This window comes from Homo sapiens, chromosome 4 (assembly GCF_000001405.40).
Source record: "Homo sapiens chromosome 4, GRCh38.p14 Primary Assembly".
NCBI lineage: Eukaryota > Metazoa > Chordata > Mammalia > Primates > Hominidae > Homo > Homo sapiens.
In genome coordinates, this window is record NC_000004.12 from 103,114,381 (window position 1) to 103,137,561 (window position 23,181).

Genomic DNA, 23,181 nt, shown 5'->3' on the forward strand with positions numbered 1-23,181 from the left:
AATATTAGTCTTCAAAGTCTGTTGTGTGTTGAGAAGTAAAATTTCATCTGAAAATATCTGCATTTTCTACTTACCTGAGGTATCTTGGGCCTGTTGACTTCTTCTGAGATTTTCTCTCAATAGCCTTATAACTTCCTTTTGATATTCTACAGTGGCTTTTGTAGCACTGATTCTAACAAAAACAATAAAAATATGTAAAAAGCTCAGCAACTGATTTTTTACAGGAGAATAAACAGAACTGCTGTGAAGGATTTTCTAACACATCACATTGACATAATGCCTGTAAGTGGCAGTAGATAAGCCCTCGTGATACCTCTCTGGTGCCATGTGCCTTATGGCATTAATGCCATCAAACTAGAAGCATTCTGCTTGGGTGCAGGGACAGTCCGATTTTCTTATATTGAGAAACCCCAGTTCTTTTAAAGCTTCTGGAGGCCTAATTCATTGTATATTGAACAAAATTATAATTACCTAATTATTTTTTACCATGGGGTCCTAGAAATATTTGAAGGTATAAGGAGCATGAAAGAGAAAGTGCAGCTTTATTTCTGTATGGTCAGGAAAGCAAACCCTGACTGCAGCTCTGGTCTAAGGTGCTACAAAGGTCAAATTCTGATCACTGTTCTCCAGTAGAAAGAGACATTTTATGAGTTGTTAGTTTACGCATTAATCAGTAACGATAAATTATAAGACTTTCTGCCTTTCTTAATGACTATGAATTATCTGTATCTGCTGACCCTATTCTTTACTTTTCTTTTCTTTTTTTTTTTGAGACGAAGTCTTGGTCTTGTCCCCCAGGCTGGAGTGCAATGGCGCTATCTCAGCTCACTGCAACCTCTGCCTCCTGAGCTCAAGCGATTCTCCTGCCTCAGCCTCCTGAGTAGCTGGGATTACAGGCACCTGCCACCACGCCTGGCTAATTTTTGTACTTTTAGTAGAGACGGGGTTTCACCATGTTGGCCAGACTGGTCTCAAATTCCTGACCTCAGGTGATCTGCCTGCCTCAGCCTCCCAAAGTGCTGGGATCACAGGCGTGAGCCACCGTGCCCGGCCCTGCTGACCCTATTCTACAAGTAAAATTGTTTTTATAATTAAGAATCTAATAGATCTATGTTTCACTGAAACCAATAGACTGCTTAGAGAGCATGAAAATTCCAATGCTACTTCCTGGGCAAAATAAGAGATCATTAAATATTTATTCAAGATTTATATAGGAAGAATGAAAAGTGTTAAAAGCCAGGAAGCATCCTAACAAATCCTCTAAATAAACCTTTCCTTATTGATTATGAATGCGAGGACCAGAGAGAATAAACAGTGTAAGGTGATGCATTAGTAAGTGAGAACATATTTCTTTTTTTTTTTTTTTTTGAGATGGAGTCTCACTCTGTCGCCCAGGCTGGAGTGCAGTGGTGCGATCTCGGCTCACTGCAAGCTCCGCCTCCCGGGTTCACACCATTCTCCTGCCTCAGCCTCCCAAGTAGCTGGGACTACAGGCGCCTGCCACCATGCCGGCTAATTTTTTTGGTATTTTTAGTAGAGGCGGGGTTTCACCGTGTTAGCCAGGATGGTCTCTATCTCCTGACCTCGTGATTTGCCCGTGTAGCCCTCCCAAAGTGCTGGGATTGAGAACGTATTTCTACTTCAGTTTCCTTGACTCTCTTTAATGTTCTTTTCATTATGCTATACCACAAAGAATTTAGGCATGCTGTTATGTATAATGCTACCTATAAATAAATCAATAAAAAGAGGATTTGCTCTTGGGCCCTAGGGAACTATAAACTAAAAGGAAATATAATCTTCACACAGAAACACAGTAAGGCCAACAAATGAAATTAAGAGAACCAACAGAAGCCTTAGTAAAACTGCTAAATACACACACACACACACACACACACACTCTTAATGTTCACTTTCAGGCATACAAAAGCCACTTAAAATTGTTTATATTCTGTATGACTAAGAAGTGTTCAAAGACACAGCGTGTTAATTGATCAGAATTGTGTTTAGTTTTAAAAACTTTGCATATGTAATGAGACCAGTATATTTAAAATCTATGGATGTGTACATTTTTAAAAAAAGAGCTGTAACAATATTTTCATAAATTATATTTTAAAAAGTTAACTAATGAAAAGTATATGTAGTTTAGGAAGAAAATTTAAGCTATTAAAATCACATTAAATTAAGACAAATACGTACTCCTTTTCAAATTCTTTGGCATTTTTCATTTTCTCTAGGTCTATTTTCACAAGCTTCATTTTGAGATCTTCAATTTCTTCTTTATATGGCTTAGCTCCTAAAGCAACTTTGTCCTAAATTTTTTTTAGAGAAAATAAAAATAATTATTAGAGGCGCTTCAGTTTCTCCAGTTGTAAAGAATGGTTAGCTGTCTTTGCTCTAATAAGGACATTTTAAAATAGCAAACAATTCCAAATATATGAAAAAGCATCAATTTTAACTGAATAACTAGATATTGATATGAAGTCTATTTGAAGCTAATATGCAATTAGAAACATGATTTTTTATTTGGAGCTATCATAATATGCAATTAGAAACATGATTTTTATTTCTTAAAATAAATATTTTTTTTCTAATTGAAAATACCTACAAAATGAAAAAAGTTGGAAATAATGAAAAGGGTGGAAAAAGGTAAATCAGAAAATGAAACAAAAAGATGTTGGAGCAGTGATGTAAACATCAAACTAGAACTAAATTTAAGCCACAAAACAAAGCATTACTAAGTATATTTTGTACTGAAACAGTTCCATCCAGTGATTCAAAACACTATATTTTACAGCAGCAGGTTTCCAGAAAAATGGAATGGAAAATACTGGGAGTTCCTACATACCCAGTGTCCCCTATTCCTTTTTCCCCATATTAACATCATGCATTAGTATGCTGCATTTGTTATAAGTGATGAATATTGATACATTATTATTAAAATCTATAATTTCCATGACAGTTTATTTGTATTGTACATTCTGTGGGTTTTGACAAATGTAAAATGGCACATGTCCATCATTACAGTATCATACAGAATAGTTTCACTGTCCTAAAAAACCCCGTGCTTTGCCTATTCATCCCTCTCTTCTCCATTATCCCTGGCAACTGTTTATTTTTTTACTGTCTCTGTAGTTTTGTCTTTCTAAAAATGTCATATACTTGAAATCATACAGTATGTAGCCTTTCCAGATTGGCTTCTTTCACTAACCAATGTGTATTAAAAGTCCACTCATTTTCTTTCCTTTTTTTTTTTTTTTTTTTTTTTAAGACAGAGTTTTGCTCTGTCACCTAGGCTGGGGTGCAGTGGTGCGATCTCGGCTCACTGCAACCTTCGCCTCCCGGGTTCAAGCGATTCTCCTGCCTCAGTCCCCTGAGTAGCTGGGATTACAGGTGCTTACCACCATGCCTGGCTACTTTTTTGTATTTTTAGTAAAGACAGTGTTTGCCATGTTGGGGAGGCTGGTCTTGAAATCCTGATCTCAGGTGATCCGCCCGCCTCAGCCTCCCAAAGTGTTGGGATTACAGGCATGAGCCACTGCGCCCAGCCCTCTCATTTCTTTTAATTGCTGAATACTATTCCACTGTATGAATGTACCAGTTTATCCATTTACCCACTGAAAGACAGTCTTAGCAATTATGAACACAGCTGCTATTAACATACACATGCAGCCCTTTGTGTGCACATATATTCTCAGCTCATCTGAGTAAATACCAAGGAATACAACTGCTCAATCATACAAGTATGCTTAGTTTTGTAAGAAACTGCGAAACCATCTTCCAAAATGGCTGTACCATTTTGCATTTCCACTAGCAATTAATGAGAATTCTTGTTGCTCCACACACCAGCATTTGGTGGTGTCAATGTTTTGGATTTTGGCTATTCTGGTAGGTTTGTAATGGTCGATTATTTTAATTTGTGATTCTCTGATGACATATGATATGAAGCATCTGTTCATATGGTTATTTGTCATCTGGGTCTTTTGCCAATTTTAAGATTGATTGGTTGTTTCCTATTGTTGGTTTTAAGAGTTCTTTGTATATTTTGTATAACATTCCTTCACCAGATTTATCTTTTATATACAGTTTCTGCCAGTCTGTGGCTTCTCTTGATTCTCCTGACAGTGTCTTTTGTAAAGCAGAAGTTTAAGTCTCAATAAAATCCAACTTACCAGTTTTTTTCTTTATGGATTGCACTTCTTGTATTATATCTTAAAAAATCGCCAAACCCAAGGTCACTTAGAACTTCTCCTATGTCATCTTCTTGGAGTTTTCTAGTTTTGCATTTTACATGTATGCCTATGATCTATTTTGAGTTAATTTTTGTGAAAAGTATAAGTTCTTTGTCTTTTTTTGCTTGTGGATGTTCAGTTGTCTGGCATCATTAGTTGATCAGACTATCCTTTTCCCATTGAGAAGCCTTTGTTTCCATCTCTCCCAGAATAGAAATGAGAGTTCTTAAAATAGCTTACAGGGCCTTTATGATCTGGTCCTCTGCTACTTCTCACCTTATTTTCTACCTCTATCCTCTTGCTTATTCTGCTCTGGATGCACAAACTTTCTTGTTGTTTTCAGTTTGCTATTTCCTTTGCCTGGAATATTTCTCCCTGGCTACACAGTTCACCCTATCACATCCTTCAGATCATCTTACTGGTGTGACATTCCTCAACTCCTGTATATACAATCATCTCTCTTCCCACACATGTCCACTTTCACCCAGAACCATGTACCCCCTTGTCTGGCTTAATTTTTTCCATTTCACTTTTCACCACTTGAGATATAATATACCTCTTAATATATATAACATATATAAAAATATACCTTCTATGTTTTACATTTTTAATTAATATTCTGTCTCCTTCAACTAGAATGTAAGTTCCTTGATGGCATGGTCTTTGTTTTTTCATTGGCCTCTAGAACAGTGAGTGACACATAGCTGGTGCTCAGCAAATATTTGTTGAATGAATAAAAACTGTGATCAATTATTTGTAATATTAAAAAATTACAACATTCTAAAACTTTACAGTTGAATTTTTTTAGTTTCTAGCTATAACAATTGTTGAAAAAACAAATTTAATTTTTTCTTTTGCCTCTCTGCTCATGTCTCACTGAATAGACCAGAATTTTTAGAACAATGTTAAATAATGAATAAAGCAGGCATTCTTGACGTGTTCCTAATTTTAACTGGAGAGAAAAGACACTGGAGCAGAACAGCAAATTTAAATATGCCAATTTGGATCAGACTCGAGTAGAAGAAATGTGGGAAGTGGCTGGAACTAAAACAAGAGGGAGCTGTAAGTAGTGATTAATGAGTGTGTGATTTGTCTAATGACATTCAAGTTGAAAAACATTTCAGTTACGGTTCTTCCCCCCAAAACAGGTCAGATTCAGCCCATGGGATATCAGGTGGGACTCAGTAACAGAGGCAGTAAGTAGGAAAAAAAGAATTTAAAAATTTACTTATCTAATAGTATTATATATTTTGATAAGCAATTTTTGAAAAATGAAAAAATATACACTAAACTATAAACAACATGTATATCTTAAAAATTATTCTTCCAACATAATAAAAATAATATTTTATATGACAATATGCTCCTACATTTCACTTCTAAGTTAAGCTGCTTCTGCTTGAGTACTGAACTTCAGAAACACATAGGTAACAGTAAGTTGTTGTGAGAGGGAAGAATAGAGCACAAGGAGATTTGCTGAATTCAATAGGTTAAACAAACAAACAAACAAACAACTTTTATTTTTATGTTTAAGTTACCTGAAGTACTTGAATTGTCTCTTTTGTTTTTTCAAGGCATTTATTTGATTCATGAACTTTGGCTTGAAGTTTTGCTATTATGTCATTAGTCACCTCAAGTTCTTTCTGCATCTTTATAATCTTGCTTTCCTTATGCATAGCACTTTCTTTAGCTTCATGCAGTGAATTTTCCAGCTCTCGAATTTTCTATTAGAAAAAGCACACATTCATAAGCTCTATCATCAAGACAGAATCACAGTATAGAAATTTGAGACAGAGATGATCATATTTAGATATTGTTAATTTTTCACAGATTGTATTAACAATGGATAGAAGAGAGGCCAAACATCATTCAATCTACAGACATGTTATTTCCCTCATTTAGATGATGATTTTTGGATTGAAAATGTCAAAGGTTTATATTATAATCTGTCTGCAAATTCTTAAAACATGCAGTTAAAAACAGCACAGTGGTTATGCGATTTATTAGTTAGCATAGTGCTAAGCATATTAAATAGGCACTCATATTTTACATGAACACCACTTAAACAAAGGACATTGGTTAATTGACTCTCTAAAGTAATATATATTTATCTTTCCCTTTAATTTTATTAATTTTTTTTTTTTGAGATGGAGTCTTGCTCTGTTGCCCAGGCTGGAATGCAGTGGCGCAATCTCGACTCACTGCAACCTCCACCTCCTGGATTCAAGCGATTGTCCTGCCTCAGCCTCCCGAGTAGCTGGGACTACAGGTGTGTGCCACCACGCCTAGCTAATTTTTGTACTTTTAGTAGAGACGGGGTTTCACCACGTTGGCCAGGCTGGTATTGAATTCCTGACCTCAGGTGATCTGCCTGCCTTGGCCTCCCAAAGTGCTGGGATTAAAGGCATGAACCACCATGCCCACCCTTATTAATCTTAAATAGAAAAACACAAATATGTGGAAAAAAATTCAAAGACATATAATGAAGAGTAAGTCTCCCCATCTCAGACCCCCAGTTGACCCTGAAGCGATGACTACTAAACTTTTTCAGGTGTATCCTTCCAGAAATTTTCTATCTATAACCAAATATACATGAATATATAGTTTCTAAAAATAGTATACACACAATATACTAAATATAGTTCTGCTTTATTTTAAAACTTGAGAACATATTTTTTCCAGATCTTTCCATTATCAACACATAGATCTCTCCTATTTTTTGTTTTCATGGACATATAGAATCTCATTTCATAAAGGTATCATATAATTCACATGTACACACTCTTTTTTGTTTTTGGCAAAATGTCTGGATTTTTGGGGGCCCATTTAGAATTCATTTTTGTTTAATGAATGAGATAGGAATCCAGCCTTACTTTTTTCCAGATGGCTATCCTGTTGTATCAAAATAATGCACTAAGCAAACCATCTTTTCTTTCTTTCTTTTTTTTTTTTTTTTTGAGGCAGTGCCTCACTCTGTTGCCTAGGCTGGTGTGCAGTGGCATGATCATGGCTCACTGCAGTATCGATCTCCCAGGCTCAAGTAATCCTCCCAGCTAAGCCTCCCACATAGCTGAGACCACAGGTGGATGTCACTGCACCTGGATAATATATTAAAAAAACACTTTTTTTTTTGTAGAGACAGGGTCTCACTATGTTGTCCAAGCTTATCTTAAACTCCTAGGCTCAAGTAATCCTCCAACCTTGGCCTCCCAAAGTACTGGGATTACAGACTCACACACCTGGCCAAGTAAACCATTTTTTTTTCCCACTGAATTGAATGTTACTGTTATCATACACCTGTACTAAATTCTCATACTTAATTGGGTATATTTCTGAACCCTCTATTCTGTTCCACTGCTCTACTTGTCCATTTTTGCATCAAACTTGTCTAATGATAGTAGCATGTATTTTATTATCTGCTAGACTATTTTCTTTGGTCATTGAAGATTGACCAACTTTCCTTTTGCTTCTTTAAATTACTATATTGGTAGATGGATTTCATCTTTCCTCTATTTTATCTGTAGCAGCTGACTGAGGTCTGTAATGCCCTACAAATCAAAACACTGTATACTAGTGATCTAGTTCTCATTAAGCTGGTGGTTGATGTTTTATTATAAGTATTTATTTTGGTAAAAATGATAAATTGTAATTTACTATTGGGTTCCCTACAAGTCGTTTTGTGTGCTAACAAAATACAACATTTTACGCATGTTGTTAGATTCCCGAGTAAGGGTAGTTAATAAGGTAATTTGGTTATCAAATAATGTACTGGTTCTTAGATACAAGTTAACCTGCGTAACAATCTTGTTATATTTTTTAACCTCTTATATTTTTATTGTGATTATAACATTAAGCAATATTAAATACGCTGATGATAATGAGAAAAGCTGAATTGCTATTTCTCTCCAAGCTAATATTTGTTCTGCATACGGACATAGATCACAGTTCAACAGAAAGTCACATAATTTGGAAAACTTTTGTGGTAATTGTACGTTAACTGGTAGTAACTTAAACTATAGTTTATGAATGTAATAATCAAATGAAGCTACAATTTATGTTTTATAATAATATCTTACATAATGTCTAGCTTTATAATTAGTTTAGTTGAACGATAGCCATAGTAGAACTACTAGTAAAAATCAAGCCCATCACTTACAAAAATAAATGTGTTCATGTTCAGTAATAAGTAAATACTATAATTTTGCTCTAAACTCTGTGATGAAGCTGCAAACTGAAGAACATTTTATAAGAAATTATATACCTCTGTGGTTAACTGTGTAGCTCTTGATGTAACATGAGGATTCTTATTGTCTTGTGTGGTAGGATTAACCTGGGCACCAGATGCCAAGGAAGTCTTCAATGTTTGGTAGTTTTTAAATAGTTTTTCATTTTTCTCTTTCAGTGATTTCAGGTCCTGTTCCCACTCTTTGGATATGGTAGCACTTCTTTCCTCAAACTCTGTTGATTCATTCATTATGGCCTATTGAACAGTAAAATACCATTATAGCTCTAAAACGATTTATAGTAGTCCCCACTTACCTGCAATTTTATTTTCCATGGTTTCAGTTACCCTCAGTCAAAAGTGGTCTGAAAATATTAAATGGGAAATTCCAGAAATAAACAATTCACAGGTTTTGAATTGCACATCATTCTGAGTAGCACAGTGAAATTTTGAGTCATCCTGCTCAGTCCTGCCTGGGATGTAAATCATCCTCTTGTCCAGCATACACTACTTGTTCACTTGATAGCCACCCTGATTATCCGATTGCTGCTGTATTGCAGTACTTGTGTCCAAGTAACCCTTATTTTAATTAATAATGGCCCCAAAGCACAAGAGTAGTAATGCTGGCAATTTAGATATGCCACCGTGAAGCTGTCAAGTGCTTCTTGTAAGTGAGAAGGTAAAAGTTCTCAACTTAATAAGAAAAAAAATCATATATTGAGGTTGCTAAGATCTATGGTTAGAATGAATCTTTTATCCGTGGAATTGTGAAGAAGGGAAGAGAAATTTGTGCTGTTTTTGCTGTAGCACTTCAGCCTACAATAGTGTGTGATAAGTGCTTAGTTAAGCTAGAAAAGGCATTAAATTTGTGGTAGAAGACAAGAACAGAAATGTGTTCCAGTTGATGACAATGTGTTGTACCAGCAAGCATTGAGCATCTAGGAAGACTTCAGCAAGGGATCCCCTGAAAAAAGTGACACCAAGCCCTTTACTGCAAGTAAGATTTATTCATGGATTCAGGAATACAGAAGGTCAATAGTAGTCTAAGACTATATCAAAATGTCTAGGTCATTCATATTCCTTCATCTTATCAGGTAGGCACTGTATCATCTCACATCATAAGAAAGGAGAGTGCAGTAAAATAAGATATTTTGAGAGAGTCCACATTCATATAACTTTTACTATAGTATATTGTTAAAATTGTTCTATTTTATTAGCTGTTGTTACTAATCTCTTACTGTGTCTAATTTATAAATTAAACTTTATCATAGGTATGGATGTATAGAAAAAACAGAATACATAGGGTTTGGTACCATCCATGGCATCCCCTCGGGGGTGGGGGGTCTTGATATACATATTTTAAAAAAACTTCAAAAAACCCTAGAATTCTAGGACAGTGTATATGCTGAAGTTCATTATTTAGAACATTCTAAAACAGTACTTTAAAAGAATGTGAACATTCTTTGTAGTTTGCATCAGTTTCTGAAATTTCAGATGTTGGATGTGGATGATGACAATAAAATGAATAATGACTAGAGAGGATTCATATTGATCTGCAAGATGATAATCTCACTTTATTAGATTTGTACTAACATATGAAGAGAACCTGAAGAATTATCCAGGTTAAAATCATTATATATGCTATGGCTGATAATGAAACATTAACTGATATCTAATAGCAGAGCACAGCTAGAAACTTAACAATTATCTATTGTCCTGCTTCATTACAAACCTCAATGTTAATAGGGAAAATAACTCACTGATTGTTGGTAATTAATCTGAATATCTTGTATTTCTGTACAGGGAATAACAATACTCTTTTATATTGAAGGCTAACTAACTCTGAAATTATTGATATCTTTTTTACTTCCTAATTCCTGCAGATTGTACTTTCTGCTCTCATCATGAATGCCCCATTAGTCTCATCCCTAACTTCTTTGTGGCTTTGTGGTCATTCTACCAGGCTTTGTGGTCATTCTACCAGATCTTAAATTCGTCGTGTTCCTGACACCCTGGACACTCCTTGGCTCTGGACTATGCACCTCACACCATACCAAGTTATTAATGCCTACTCTTATGTGCTGGAAGAAGCCACATATACATGCTGATCCACATAGTAGAAATCCCTGCTTTCTAATCACAACTGGGTCTCCAGTATTACAAGAAAAACAACAAATTACAAATAGACATGACCTTATCCAAACATTGGTTTTGTGCCTTTCTCTACTGATTGTGGACTTCTTTGTTTTTTCTTGAAATAGCCAACTGCTATTTGGCTAGCTCTGACTAATCAATAAACAGGATGAACTTTCCAAGCGAAAACTTTTTAAAAAAGGCATTGTTCCTTATTTCAACAAGATTCCAATATGATTTGCAGATGAAATTAAATTGTCAGAAAAGAACTATCCAAACATATGAACTATAAAATGTATTTTGGAAACTATAATATTAATCTAGCTACCATTGCTCCAATTTAATATAAATAAGCAATCTTTTGAATATTACATGTTTTACCAATGAAACAGAGAAGGGATTACTTCTGAAAGCAGAATGAATACTGCAATTACTTTTGTACCCACCAAATACCAATCACTGAAATGTAAAACAAGTTAACAAACTGGTCTTAAGCAATGTTGGTCCTTATGACTCAGTACATTTGGGCTGATCACCTTGGGAACAATGATTAAAAAAAAAATCAAAATTTTGGAATTTCTAGTTTAGCATTTTAGGTGTTTAGAAGTTGCCAGTCCAGGACGGGTGCAGTGGCTCACACCTGTAATCCCAGCACTCTGGCAGTCCGAGGCGGGCAGATCATGAGGTCAAGAGATTGAGATCATCCTGGCCAACAGGTGAAACCCCGTCTCTACTAAAAAAAATACAAAAATTAGCTGGGAGTGGTGGCACGTGCCTGTAGTCCCAGTTACTCGGGAGGCTGAGGCAAGAGAATCGCTTGAACCCAGGAGGCGGAGGTTGCAGTGAGCCGAGATTGAGCCACTGCACACTCCAGCCTGGGTGACAGAGTGAGACTCCATCTCAAAAAAAAAAAAAAAAAAAAAGGAGTTACCTAACAAGGAAAAAGCAAAACAAATGAAAAAAATCCACAACTCTGCTTAGATCCATCAGAGAAGTGAGGTCGCAGGGCAAAGGGATGCTCCCCAAACTGGAGAGGCAGAGAGGCAGATACAGAGAATTACAACTTAGAGCAGAAACCCTTTGCAGGAACCAGTTATGGGGTAGGAAAACCTGAACTGCAATGATGAATTATTGGAGCTCAGTGTGGCAACTCTGAGAGTTAAAAACTTCGGAGACCTAGTCATACAGTGGCCGCCACACTTTTGTATTTTACCTTCAGGAGCTCTACCAAGTCATCACAGTTAATATTGGAGAAATCCCTTTGTGAGTCTGGCAGGAGAGGAGAAAAGGAACCATTTTAAAACAAAACACAGCATTTTTTTTTTCTTAAGGCCTGACCTCAGCAGAAACTATTTCACCAGAGCCTAACATGCTGGGGTTTTGTCAGGGCCTAATATATCTGGAGGAGGGGGAAATACTAAGTTTCAGCTGGCTCTTGCCTTCCATGTGAAGGCAGGGAAATATACTCCGCCTGCCACCCACCACACACACCTTGCCACTACATTACTAAAGGCCTATTTGCTACAGTTACTTTTACCCAGTAAATCATGCCTGCTTTTCAGCAAAAAAAATTACAAGACATACTAGAGGGCAAAAAACACAGTTTGAAGAGACTGAATAAGCATCAGAACCACAGGCAGAAATGCCAGGAACATGAGAGTTATCAGACCAGAAATTTAAAAAAAATGGATTAATATGCTAGGGGCCTTAGTGGAAAAAGCAGACGACTTGCAAGAACAAATAAACAATGTAAGAAGAAACATAGAAATTTTGAGCAAAAAAATAAAGAAATGCTAGAGATCAAAAATGCTCTTAAGAGAAACGAAGAATGCCCTTGAAGAGTTCATTAGCAGACTGGCTGAAGAAAGAAACTCAACTTGGAAATATGACAATGGAAACTTCCAAAACTGAAAAGCAAAGAGTAAAAAGACTGAAAAAATCCCTAAACAACATCCTAGAAGTGTGCAGTAATTATAAAAGGTGTAATGTATACATAATGGGAATACCAGAAGGTGAACAGAAAAAGAAAGAGCAGGAATATTTGAAGTAATAACGACTAAGAATTTCCACAGATTAACAACGTACACCAAACCAGGAATCCAGAAAACTCATAATGCTAAACGGGACAAATATAAAAAAAAAAAAAAACCAAAAAAACCCCCGAAAAAAAACCCCCAAAAACAAAAAACAACATCTAAGCATATCATATTCAAACTTCAGAAAAATCAAAGGTAAAAAAAAATCTTTGAAGAAGCTAGAAGGGAAAAAACACCATACCTATAGGGGAGTGAAGATAAGAATTACATCTGACTTCTCTGAAGCTATTCAAGCTAGAAGACAGTGGAGTGAAAAAACATACTAACCTATAATTCTATTCCATGTAAAATTATTCTTCAAAAGTAAAGTAGAAATAAAGACTTTCTGAGACAAACAAAAATGGAGGGAATTTGCTGTCAGTAGACTGGTCTTGCAAGAAATATTAAAAAGAAGTTCTTCAGAGGAAAGGAAAATGATATAGCCAGAAACTCAGATCTACATAAAGAAAGGAAGAGCACAAGAGAAGGAATAAGTGAAGGTAAAACAAAAACTTATTTTCTTATTCTTAACTGAGCTAACTTATGTATGCTTATGAATAAGTGAAATGAATAACGGCAATGATACAATGGATGGGAGGGAGAAATTATAAATATTTTGTTATTATAAGGTACTTATATTATCTGTGAAGTGGAAAGTGTTATTTGAAATTGGGCTCAGATTAGTTGTAAATGGATATATTGCAAACTCTAGAGCAACCACTAAAACAAGATAGAAGTGTAGTTGTATGCTAAGCAGAGAAAATGGAATCATAAAATAATTTAAATCATAAAAGGCAGAAAAAATGTGGAAGACAAAAATAGGTACAAAGAATAAGGGCAAAAAATAGAAAACAGAAACAATATGGTAGATATTAATCCAATTATATCAATAATCACCTTAAACGTCAATGGTCTAAATACACCAATTAAAAGACCGACTGTCAAAGCAGATCAAAAAATAAGAGCTGACTGTATGTTGTCTACAAGAAACCCATCTTCAATATAAGGACACATAGATTAGAAAGTAAAGGGATGGAGAAAGATACACCATGTTAAAACTAGTCAAAAGAGATGAAGTAGTGATATTAATTTCACACATAGCAGAGTTCAGAGCAAGGAAAACTATCAGGGATAAAGGGACATTACGTAGTGATAAAGACATCAATACCCCAAGAAGACATAACAATTTTTATTTTGCATGCACCTAACAAAAACGCATTAAAATACTTGAGGCAAAAACTGATAAAACTACAAGGAGAAATAGATCAATTTATTATAGTTGGAGACTTCAACGCCTCTCTATCAGAAGTGAACAGATCCACCAGGCAGAAAAATCAGGAAGGACATGGTTGAATTTAACAGTACCATCTATCAACTGGATGCAATTGACATCTATTGACTACTTCATCCAACAACAGCATATTATATATTCTTCTCAAACTCACATTGAATATTTGTGAAGACAGACCACATTCTGGACCAATCATACCATTCTGCTCTCAGACCACAATGGAATTAAACTAGAAATCAAAAACAGCTGAAAAATCCCTGGATAATTAGAGATTTAAAAAATACATTTCTAAATAACATACGGGTCACAGGAGAAATAAAGAGAAATTAAAATGTATTTTGAACTCAATGAAAATGAAAATATGACTTATCAGTATCTGTGGGATGCAGTAAAAGCAGTGTTTAGAGGAAAATTTATAGCATTGAATACCAGTATTAGAAAAGAGGAAAGACCTAAAAACCAATAAATGAGGCTTTAACCTTAGGAAACTAAAAGTGAAGAGCAAATTAAATCCAAAGTAAGCAGAAGAAATAATAAAAGTAGAAATCAATGAAATTGAAACAAAATCAATAGAGAAAATAAATATCCTAAAAACTGGTTCTTTGAAAAGATCAATAAAGTTAATAAACCTCTAGCTAGGCAAACTAAGAAAAAGAAAAAGAATACAAATTACTAATATCAGAAATGGATGACAGGACATCACTATAGAGCCCATGGACATTAAAAAATATTAGGAACAACTCAATTATTACAACCCACAATTATGAACAACCCACAAATTTGATAATTTAAATGAAATGGACCAATTCTTTGAAAGACACAATCTACCAATACACAAGAAAGGCAGTTCGATTAGGCCTATATCTATCAAAGAAATGGAGTCAGTAATTAAAAACTTTCCAAAACAGAAAGCACCAGGTCCAGATGAGTTCAATGGTGAACTCTACCAAATATTTAAGAAATTTAAGGAAAAAACTATACCCATTCTCTACAACCTACAATCTCTTCTAGAAGATAGAAACGGAAACTCATTCTATGATGTCAGCATTATTCTAATACTAAAACCAGATGATGACATTATACAAGAAAACTACAGACCAGTATCTCCCATAAAAAGAGATGTAAAAGCTGGGTGCGGTGGTTCACGCCTGTAATCCCAGTACTTTGGGAGGCCGAGGTGGGTGGATCACGAGGTCAGGAGTTCGAGACCAGCCTGACCAACATGGTGAAACCCGTCTCTACTAAAAATACAAAAATTAGCCAGGCGTGGTGGTGCGTGTGTGTAATCCCAGCTGAGGCAGGAGAAGTGCTTGAACCTGGGAGGCAGAGGTTGCCGTGTGCCGAGATTGTGCCATTACACTCCAGCCTGGGAGACAGAGTGAGACTCCATCTCAAAAAATAAAATAAAATAAAATAAAAAACAAAGATGTAAAAAAAGATGTGAAAATCTCAACAAAATATTAGGAAGTCAAATCCAATCACGTGTAAAAATGATTATACATGACCAAATGGGATTTATCCCAGGTATGCAAGGCTGGTTTAACATTCAAAAATCAATTAATGTTCCATCACATAGGCTAAAGAAGAAAAATCACATGATCATATCAATGGATGCAGAAAAAATTTGTCAAAATCCAATACCCATTCATAATTTAAAACTCTCAGCAATAGAGATGAACCTCTACAACTTGATAAAGAATGTCTACAAAAAACTACAGCTAACATCATAGTTAATCATGAGGAACTAGAAGTCTTCCTGCTGTGATCAGAAACAAGGCAAGGATGTCCCCTCTCACCTCTAGTTTTCAACACTGTACTGGAAGTCCAAATTAACGCCATAAGACAAGTAAAGAAAATACAAGGTACACAAATTTGTAAAGAAGAAATAAAACAAAACTCTCTTTGTTTACACATGACATGATCATCTACATAGAAAATCTGAAGGCATCAACAAAAATACTCCTGGAACTAAATAAGCAACTATCGCAAAGTTGCAGGATAAAAAGTCAATATACGAAAGTTAATAGCTTTCCTGTATACCAGCAATTTACAAGTGTAATTTGAAATTAAAAATACATTACCATTTATACTAGCACCCCCCAAAATAAAATACATAGGCAAATCTAACAAATATGTACAAGATCTATATGAGAAAAACTACCAAACTCTTATAAAAAAATAAAAGAATCAAATAAATGGAGAAATATTCCATATTCATGGATAAAAAGACACGATATTGTCAAGATGTCAGTTCTTTCCATCTATAAATTAGAAGCAATCCCAACAAAACCATAGGAAGTTATTCTGTGAATAGGGACAAACTAATTCCAAAGTTTATATGGAGAGGCAAAGGACCCAGAATAACCAACACAATGCTGAAGAACGACGTCAGAGAACTGATGTTACTTGACTTCCAGATTTACTATAAAAATCAGCAGTTTCCAGATTTGCTATAAATGAAAGAACAAATAGATCAATGGAATAGAATAGAGAGCTCAGAAATAGATCCCACATAGTCAAATGATCATTGACAAAGGAGCAAAGACAATATAATTGTGCTGAATCTGGACTTCTACAAGCGAAAAAAAAAAAAAAAAGACCTTAAGAACTTCAGAAAAATTAACTCAAGATGGATCATTGGTTTAAATGTAAAACAAAAACTATGGAAGACAGCATAGGAGAAAATCTAGATGATCTTGGGTTTGGTGATATTTTAGATACAAACTCAAAGGCATAATCTATGAAAGAAATAATTGATAAGCTAGACTTTTTTTTAACATTAAAAATCTGCACTCTGAAACACAATGCCAAGGGAGTGAGAAGACAAGCCACAGATTGGTAGAATATATTTCCAAGACACATCTGATAAAAGACCAATATTCAAAGTATACAAACAATTCTTAAACCTTAACAATGAGAAAACAAATAACCTGACTAAAATAAGGGCAACAGACCTGAACAGACACTTCACCAGAAAAGATACACAGATGACAAATAACTATAAAAAATGTTCAACATCATATGTTATTAGAGAATTGCAAACTGAATGAGATACCACTAGAATGGTCAAATACTACACTTACTACACTTACTAGAATGGTCAAAATCCCAAACTGACAACACCAAATGCTGATGAGAATGTGGAGCAACAGGAATTTTATTCATTGCTGGTGGGAGTGCAAAATGGTACCGCCCCTTTGGAAGACTGTCTGGCAGTTTATTACAAAACTAAACAAACTTTTACTGTATGATCCAGAAATTGCATTCCTTGATATTTACTCAAGAGAGTTGAAAATGTATGTCCACACAAAAAGATACATATGTATGTTTATAGCAGCTGAATTCATAATTGCCAAAACATACAAGCCACCAAAATATCCTTTGGTAGGTAAGTAGATAAACAGGTACATACACACAATGGAATATTATTCAGCATTAAAAAGAAATAAGCTATGAAACCATGAAAAGACATGGACAAAACGTAAATAAATATTACTAAGTGAAAGTTGTCAACCTGAAAAGGCTATATACTGTATGATTCCAACATATGACATTCTGGAAAAGGGGCTACTATGGAGACAGTAAAAAGATTAACAGTTGCCAGGGTTTAGGAAGGTGAAGTGATGAATACAGGTGGAACCCAGGGAATTTTTATGGCAGGATAGTAAAATTACTCTGTATGATACTGTAATGATGGATACATGTCATTTTACAATTGTAACTCATAGAATGTACTATGCCAAGTGTGAACCCTAATGTAAGCTACGGACTCTCTTGGGTGATAATGATGTATCAATGTAGGTTCATCGATTGTGCCAAATGTGCCACCCTGATGTGGGCTGTTGATAGGGGAGATTGTGTTTGTGGAGATGGGGTATAAGAGAACTCTCTGTACTTTCTGCTCAATTTTGCTGTGAACCTAAAACTGCTCTTAAAAAAAAAAGTTTATTAAAGCACATGAGGCCCATCTAAAGTAGCTGGCCAGGCTTGTCTATGACTTTACCACAGTTGCTGCCCATAGCTTGAAACAGACTCATGTCTTACGATCTCTAAGGCTACTCGTGGAAAAGGCTCAGTTCTTACAGAAGCAGTGAGAAGGAGAAGAAAAAGAGGACAATAGTAAGAGGATTCAAGATTTCACAAGTGGAAACTAAATATTATACAACAAGATTTCGTTACCTTGATCAGTATGAATTGATAAGGAAGAATAATACATTAGAGGAAGAACACGTTTTATCAAATCAATTTTTTTAAAGCATATACAAATAAAGAAAATATACATAAGTTGCCCTTTTAAGAATGAGGTAGGACAATTAAAGCAAACAGCAACAAAAAAGTAGTACAGCAAAAAGTAATACTTACAATTATTCTGTTATTAAAGAAGTTATTCACTTGACAAATCCTATCATTTTCTTTCTGGATGCCATTTTTAAGCTTTTCTATATCAAAACGAGTATTTAACCACTCTTCCAAAAACTGTGTCATTTCTTTCCTATTACTTAGTACTTGTTGAAATTCAGTCTTTATGCTAGGGAACTCACTTTCTGAGAAATCTTTGAGAATTTCCTGTGTGAAAAATAAGCGTCAAATTGTTTAAACATTAGGAAAGTTTTGATCCAAATATTTTATTTATATATATATATATATATATATAAAATAAAAAGAGGGCAATACCTAGTGGACTCTTGCTTTTCTTCCTTTTAATATCATTTCTTAATATTTTAAAGTAAACTAAGAAATATAATTGTAAGTTAAAACTTTATTCTAGTTATTTGCATAATATAATTTTGGCAGTATACATGATGTAACAGATTGTACCTATTAGAATTAAAGCTTGTCAAAATGACAAATTTGTGACTAATTGCTACAATACCTGAAGTGCATCTTAATTTTTATTTTTTGAGATGGTCTCACTATGTTGCCCAGGCTGATCTTGAACCCCTGGAGTCAAGTGATCCTCCTGCCTGAGCCTCTTAAGTAGCTGGAATTACAGGCATGCCACTGGGGCTGGCTTCATGAAGTGCTTCTAAATGTAGCTTTTCAGTACATATAGCAGACCTTACATACATGTTGGGAATTGGATGCCAGCCTCACATAGATGAATGCAAGTAACACATTCCATGTGGAGTTGTTGTAATAAAGCGGTTTCTGACTCCCAGCATAGACATAAGTTTTCCTGTATCTATTGAGGTCTGAAGAGAGGCTAGTCCATTATTTGCCAGTCTTTATGTCTGGCCAGGTATCACTCTGCAACGTATTTTTAATTTCTGGTAAATGAAAATAGCTCTAAGCACATGAAAAAGTACCTTTCTACTTGATAAAAAGGCTTAAAATCTAACTAAATCCATTTAAAATAAATTATACCTCAATATGTAGATCCATATTCTGGTTCAATTTGAGATCCCTTAATTCTCTGGATGGTACATCACAATCTTGTTGAAGGTGCTGTATTTTAATTAGCAATTCCTTTTGCTTTTCCACTTCATCAATAAAATCCATTTCAAATTTATTGATGGATTCATGTTGTTCTTCTTTTATTTTTGTAACATAGCTTAACACATACTTGCAGAAAAAAATTAAACAAATTGGTAAATGAAAATTTTGTCACATGTAGAGAAAGTTTTCATCCTTGAGACTATGAGGTAGGATGACATCTCTTATTTACCTATATCCTCTCACAAGTGAGGAAAAGGGAAAGAGCTTCTCTCTATCCCCAGTTTTTCCTCTTAGTATCTTAGGAGAATAACTAACTCCCAGACCTATAATTCCTTATTTCTGACTTCTTACCAGATATACTTCTTGGATGTCTTACAAGTACTTCAAATTCAACATGTTTAAAACGTAACATGATCCCTTTCTCTACAAGTCCTCCTTTTTCTATTGCCCAGTTTTTGGCTAATTACATTACCAATCACCCAGGTTTCCCAGTTAAACTCATGAGACTCATTTTCAACATCCTCTCCTGCCAACGCTGATTGGGTAACCAAAAAGATGAAGTTACATGCCTCAAGACTTCCTTGTCGGCCGGACATGGTGGCTCATGCCTGTAATCCCAGCACTTTGGGAGGCTGACGTGGGCAGATCACAAGGTCAGGAGTTCGAGACCATCCTGGCTAACACAGTGAAACCCTGTCTCTACTAAAAATACAAAAAATTAGCTGGGCGTGGTGGCAGGCGCCTGTAGTCCCAGCTACTTGGAGGCTGTGGCAGGAGAATGGCGTGAACCCGGGAGGCGGAGCTTGCAGTGAGCCGAGATCATCACACCACTGCACTCCAGCCTGGGCAACAGAGCAAGACTCCGTCTCAAAAAAAAAAAAAAAAAAAAAAAAGACTTCCTTGTCAAGCATATTTAGATATTTGGCTTCAAGAGACAATAATTTCAATGCCAAATGTCTCATGGACTTCATGAATAATTCTAGATGTCTGATTACCAGGATTTGTGGAAGAATTACCAGGGCCCGAAGGGCAATCTACCCAGGTAGGGCAGATACCAGCTTACTTATTCCTCAACTTCCACCATTCCTTAACCTCTTATAATCTGGTCTCTTCCTTAACTACCCAGTTGAAACTGTTCTCTGACAATGATCACTAATGAGTTCTATTATCACCACATTGAGAGAATATCTTCAGTCCATATTCTGACTCTCTGAAGTATTTGCCACTCATAACTTCATCTTTGACATACTCTTCTCCACTGATTTGGGTAGCAGTACTTTTGCTAGTTTCTCTCCTGTATCTTTGACTTTTCCAACCTTGAACCCATGTGTTGCTCCCTTTTCTGCTACTGCCTCTTAGACATTTATCTTTTCCAGAGTTCTGTTTTTATCCCAAGGCTCTTAGTCTTCATTATGCTTTCTGGATGATCTTACAAATGTATTATCTATCACCTATATGCTGATCAGTCTCAAATGTTAGTTCTTATTTTTCTCCTGCCAAACCTCAAACTCAAATCTAAATGTCTACTTGGTTTCTCTTCTTGGATGTTCCATCATAGGTATTTCAGCCCCCAAACATCTCAAATTAAACAATCTCCTGCCTCATCTACCTTGTTTCTCTTTCTTTTTTATTTTTGAATCTCAGTTAATGGTACCACTATCGACAAACCTGACTAAGCCCAAATCCAAGAACTCCATCTAAACTTCTCTCCCTTATGTCCACTATCAATTATTTCGACCTACTATTTTAAGCTGCTAAATATTTCTTTAATCTCGTTTGTCCTCTCCAGCCCTGTGAAACCCTCCCTAGTAGTACAGTCACATATAATATCTCATCTGGACCACTGTAACTGCCTCTTATTGCTTTCTGCTACTAGGCTTATCTCCCTCAAACTCATTTCTTCTGTATTCTTTAGTTTAGTACCTAAGTGGTAATCAGATCCTGTTACCACCACCACTTAAAACAATAGTCTAATGATTCCCCATCTACAAAAAGAACTCCAAGCTTTGTTATTGAGTCTGGCTTCTACTACAGTTTCATCTTCTGTAATTTTATTTAGTACGTCATATAACTTGCATACACTTCTATCATTGCACTTAATACTTGTTTATATGTCTGTCTCACCCCAGACTATGAGATCTTTGAGATGTTAACTCACATCTGCCTCCTGAACATCCTGACATAATGTCTAGGCCCACAGGCAGAGTTCAGGTGTTGCTGATATCCTACATATTACTATGCTCAGACCCACATAATCTTTAATTTGGTAGTAAGAATACTAAATAGCAAATATGCCGGCACCTGAAGCAGGACTTAAATACATTGATGTTTATAACTGAAATATTTAAAAGGATATTACTAAAAAAGATGGTACCTTCAGTTTCTTCATGATTCTGTGGAATTCCATGGAGCATCTCTGGTTTGCAGTAAAAAGTTTTTCAATGTGTTTGGTTTGTAAATAGGGAAGTGAGAGGTTTGCTTTAACTCTCATTGAAAGCTCTTTTTGGAATTCAATTTCCTTCTCCAAGTCAAGAGACAATCTATTCAAGCACTCATAATGATCATCCATCTCTGAGTATCTCTTCAAAAGCTCCTAAAGGAAATGAGAATTCACTCAATTTATAACAATTCATTCTAATATCACAATAAGTAGTTACAACTCTAGAATTGTAACAAAACTTATGCTTTAACATTTTCTGTAGGAGAGAAATAAAGACCTTTGTGTCTAAAAACAAAAGGAAACTCTTGTTGTCATTTTGGATAACAGAAATAATAGATAATTATTATGGCAATTTAAAAAATTTAAGCAAATATAACAAAGAAAGCCAGGACCAACCATTCTTAACATTTTGATGCATTTTCTTTTAGTTTTTTGAATATCCATGATATGAATCAACATTGACAAAGTCTGATGAGAAATTTGAGTAAATTCAATTAAGTATGTATTGTAGTTCATGGTTGAGTGCTGGTTTATGTTTATAGTAGGCAGTCTGAGTTAGCAGATAAAACAAGTGATTAAGAATCAAACCACCTATTTGTCAGCTTGGTACAGATACTTCACACAATCCTACTATCTGCCTACAATCTGTTTTCTAACCCTTTATCAGAGGTAGAGTTCAGGTTCCAGCTCTGCCACTTCTTGACTGGGGAAGTCACTGAGCCATTTTCACAACAACAGGAAGACTACAATAATTACCACAAAGTTTTCTGGGGTCAAGTAAAATATATGATCTATACCTATATACCTATGTAATCTATAAAACAGACACAGTCATTTAACTTGAAGGAGACAAAATTATGTTTATAAACATGTTTCTATACCCAAGTTTTGAACTAAGTCAGATACAAGTCTGACTTAGTTTAAAATTCTGATTCTAACAATTTACTAGCTGTGTAACCTTGGGCAACTGCTAAACTTCCTTTCTGAGGAAGGCAGTTTCCTTGTTTATGAATGGAGCAATAAAGCCTATATCATGAGGTAAAGCACCCAGTATGGTACCTGGCATACAGTAGACATGCAATAAATCTGGACCCATAGACTCAAGTGACTTGAGGCTATGCAGGTGACACACTGGTCAGAGCACAGGTAGAGAAACATGTAAAATTCAAGTTACTGTAATCATGTAGTAGGTAACATGTTTAGTTCAGGCTGCTAAACAATAAAACAAGGGCGTTCTCACAAGAATGAGCCCTTTATTTTTAATAATTTAAGAAAAGCTAGATGTTAATCAATCTGGAATGTTGGAGAGGGGATTCCTGTTTTTGGTTTTAGGATGAATCAACTACGGTATACAG

The 23,181-nt window shown here is 35.3% G+C and overlaps 1 protein-coding gene across 17 annotated transcripts in view; it reads right to left on the reverse strand.

Moving 5' to 3' along the window:
* CENPE (centromere protein E) overlaps positions 1–23,181 on the reverse strand; it is a 92,533-nt gene that overhangs the window by 8,570 nt on the left and 60,782 nt on the right. For all 17 annotated transcript variants that reach the window (XM_047449534.1, XM_047449541.1, XM_047449533.1 and 14 more), the window contains 7 exons: positions 21,761–21,979; positions 19,315–19,512; positions 18,313–18,516; positions 8,491–8,709; positions 5,768–5,953; positions 2,197–2,309; positions 75–172 (listed from right to left, as the gene is read on the reverse strand). In XM_047449534.1, the coding sequence (XP_047305490.1) occupies positions 75–172; positions 2,197–2,309; positions 5,768–5,953; positions 8,491–8,709; positions 18,313–18,516; positions 19,315–19,512; positions 21,761–21,979 (1,237 nt within the window). The remainder of the gene's footprint in view (positions 1–74; positions 173–2,196; positions 2,310–5,767; positions 5,954–8,490; positions 8,710–18,312; positions 18,517–19,314; positions 19,513–21,760; positions 21,980–23,181) is intronic.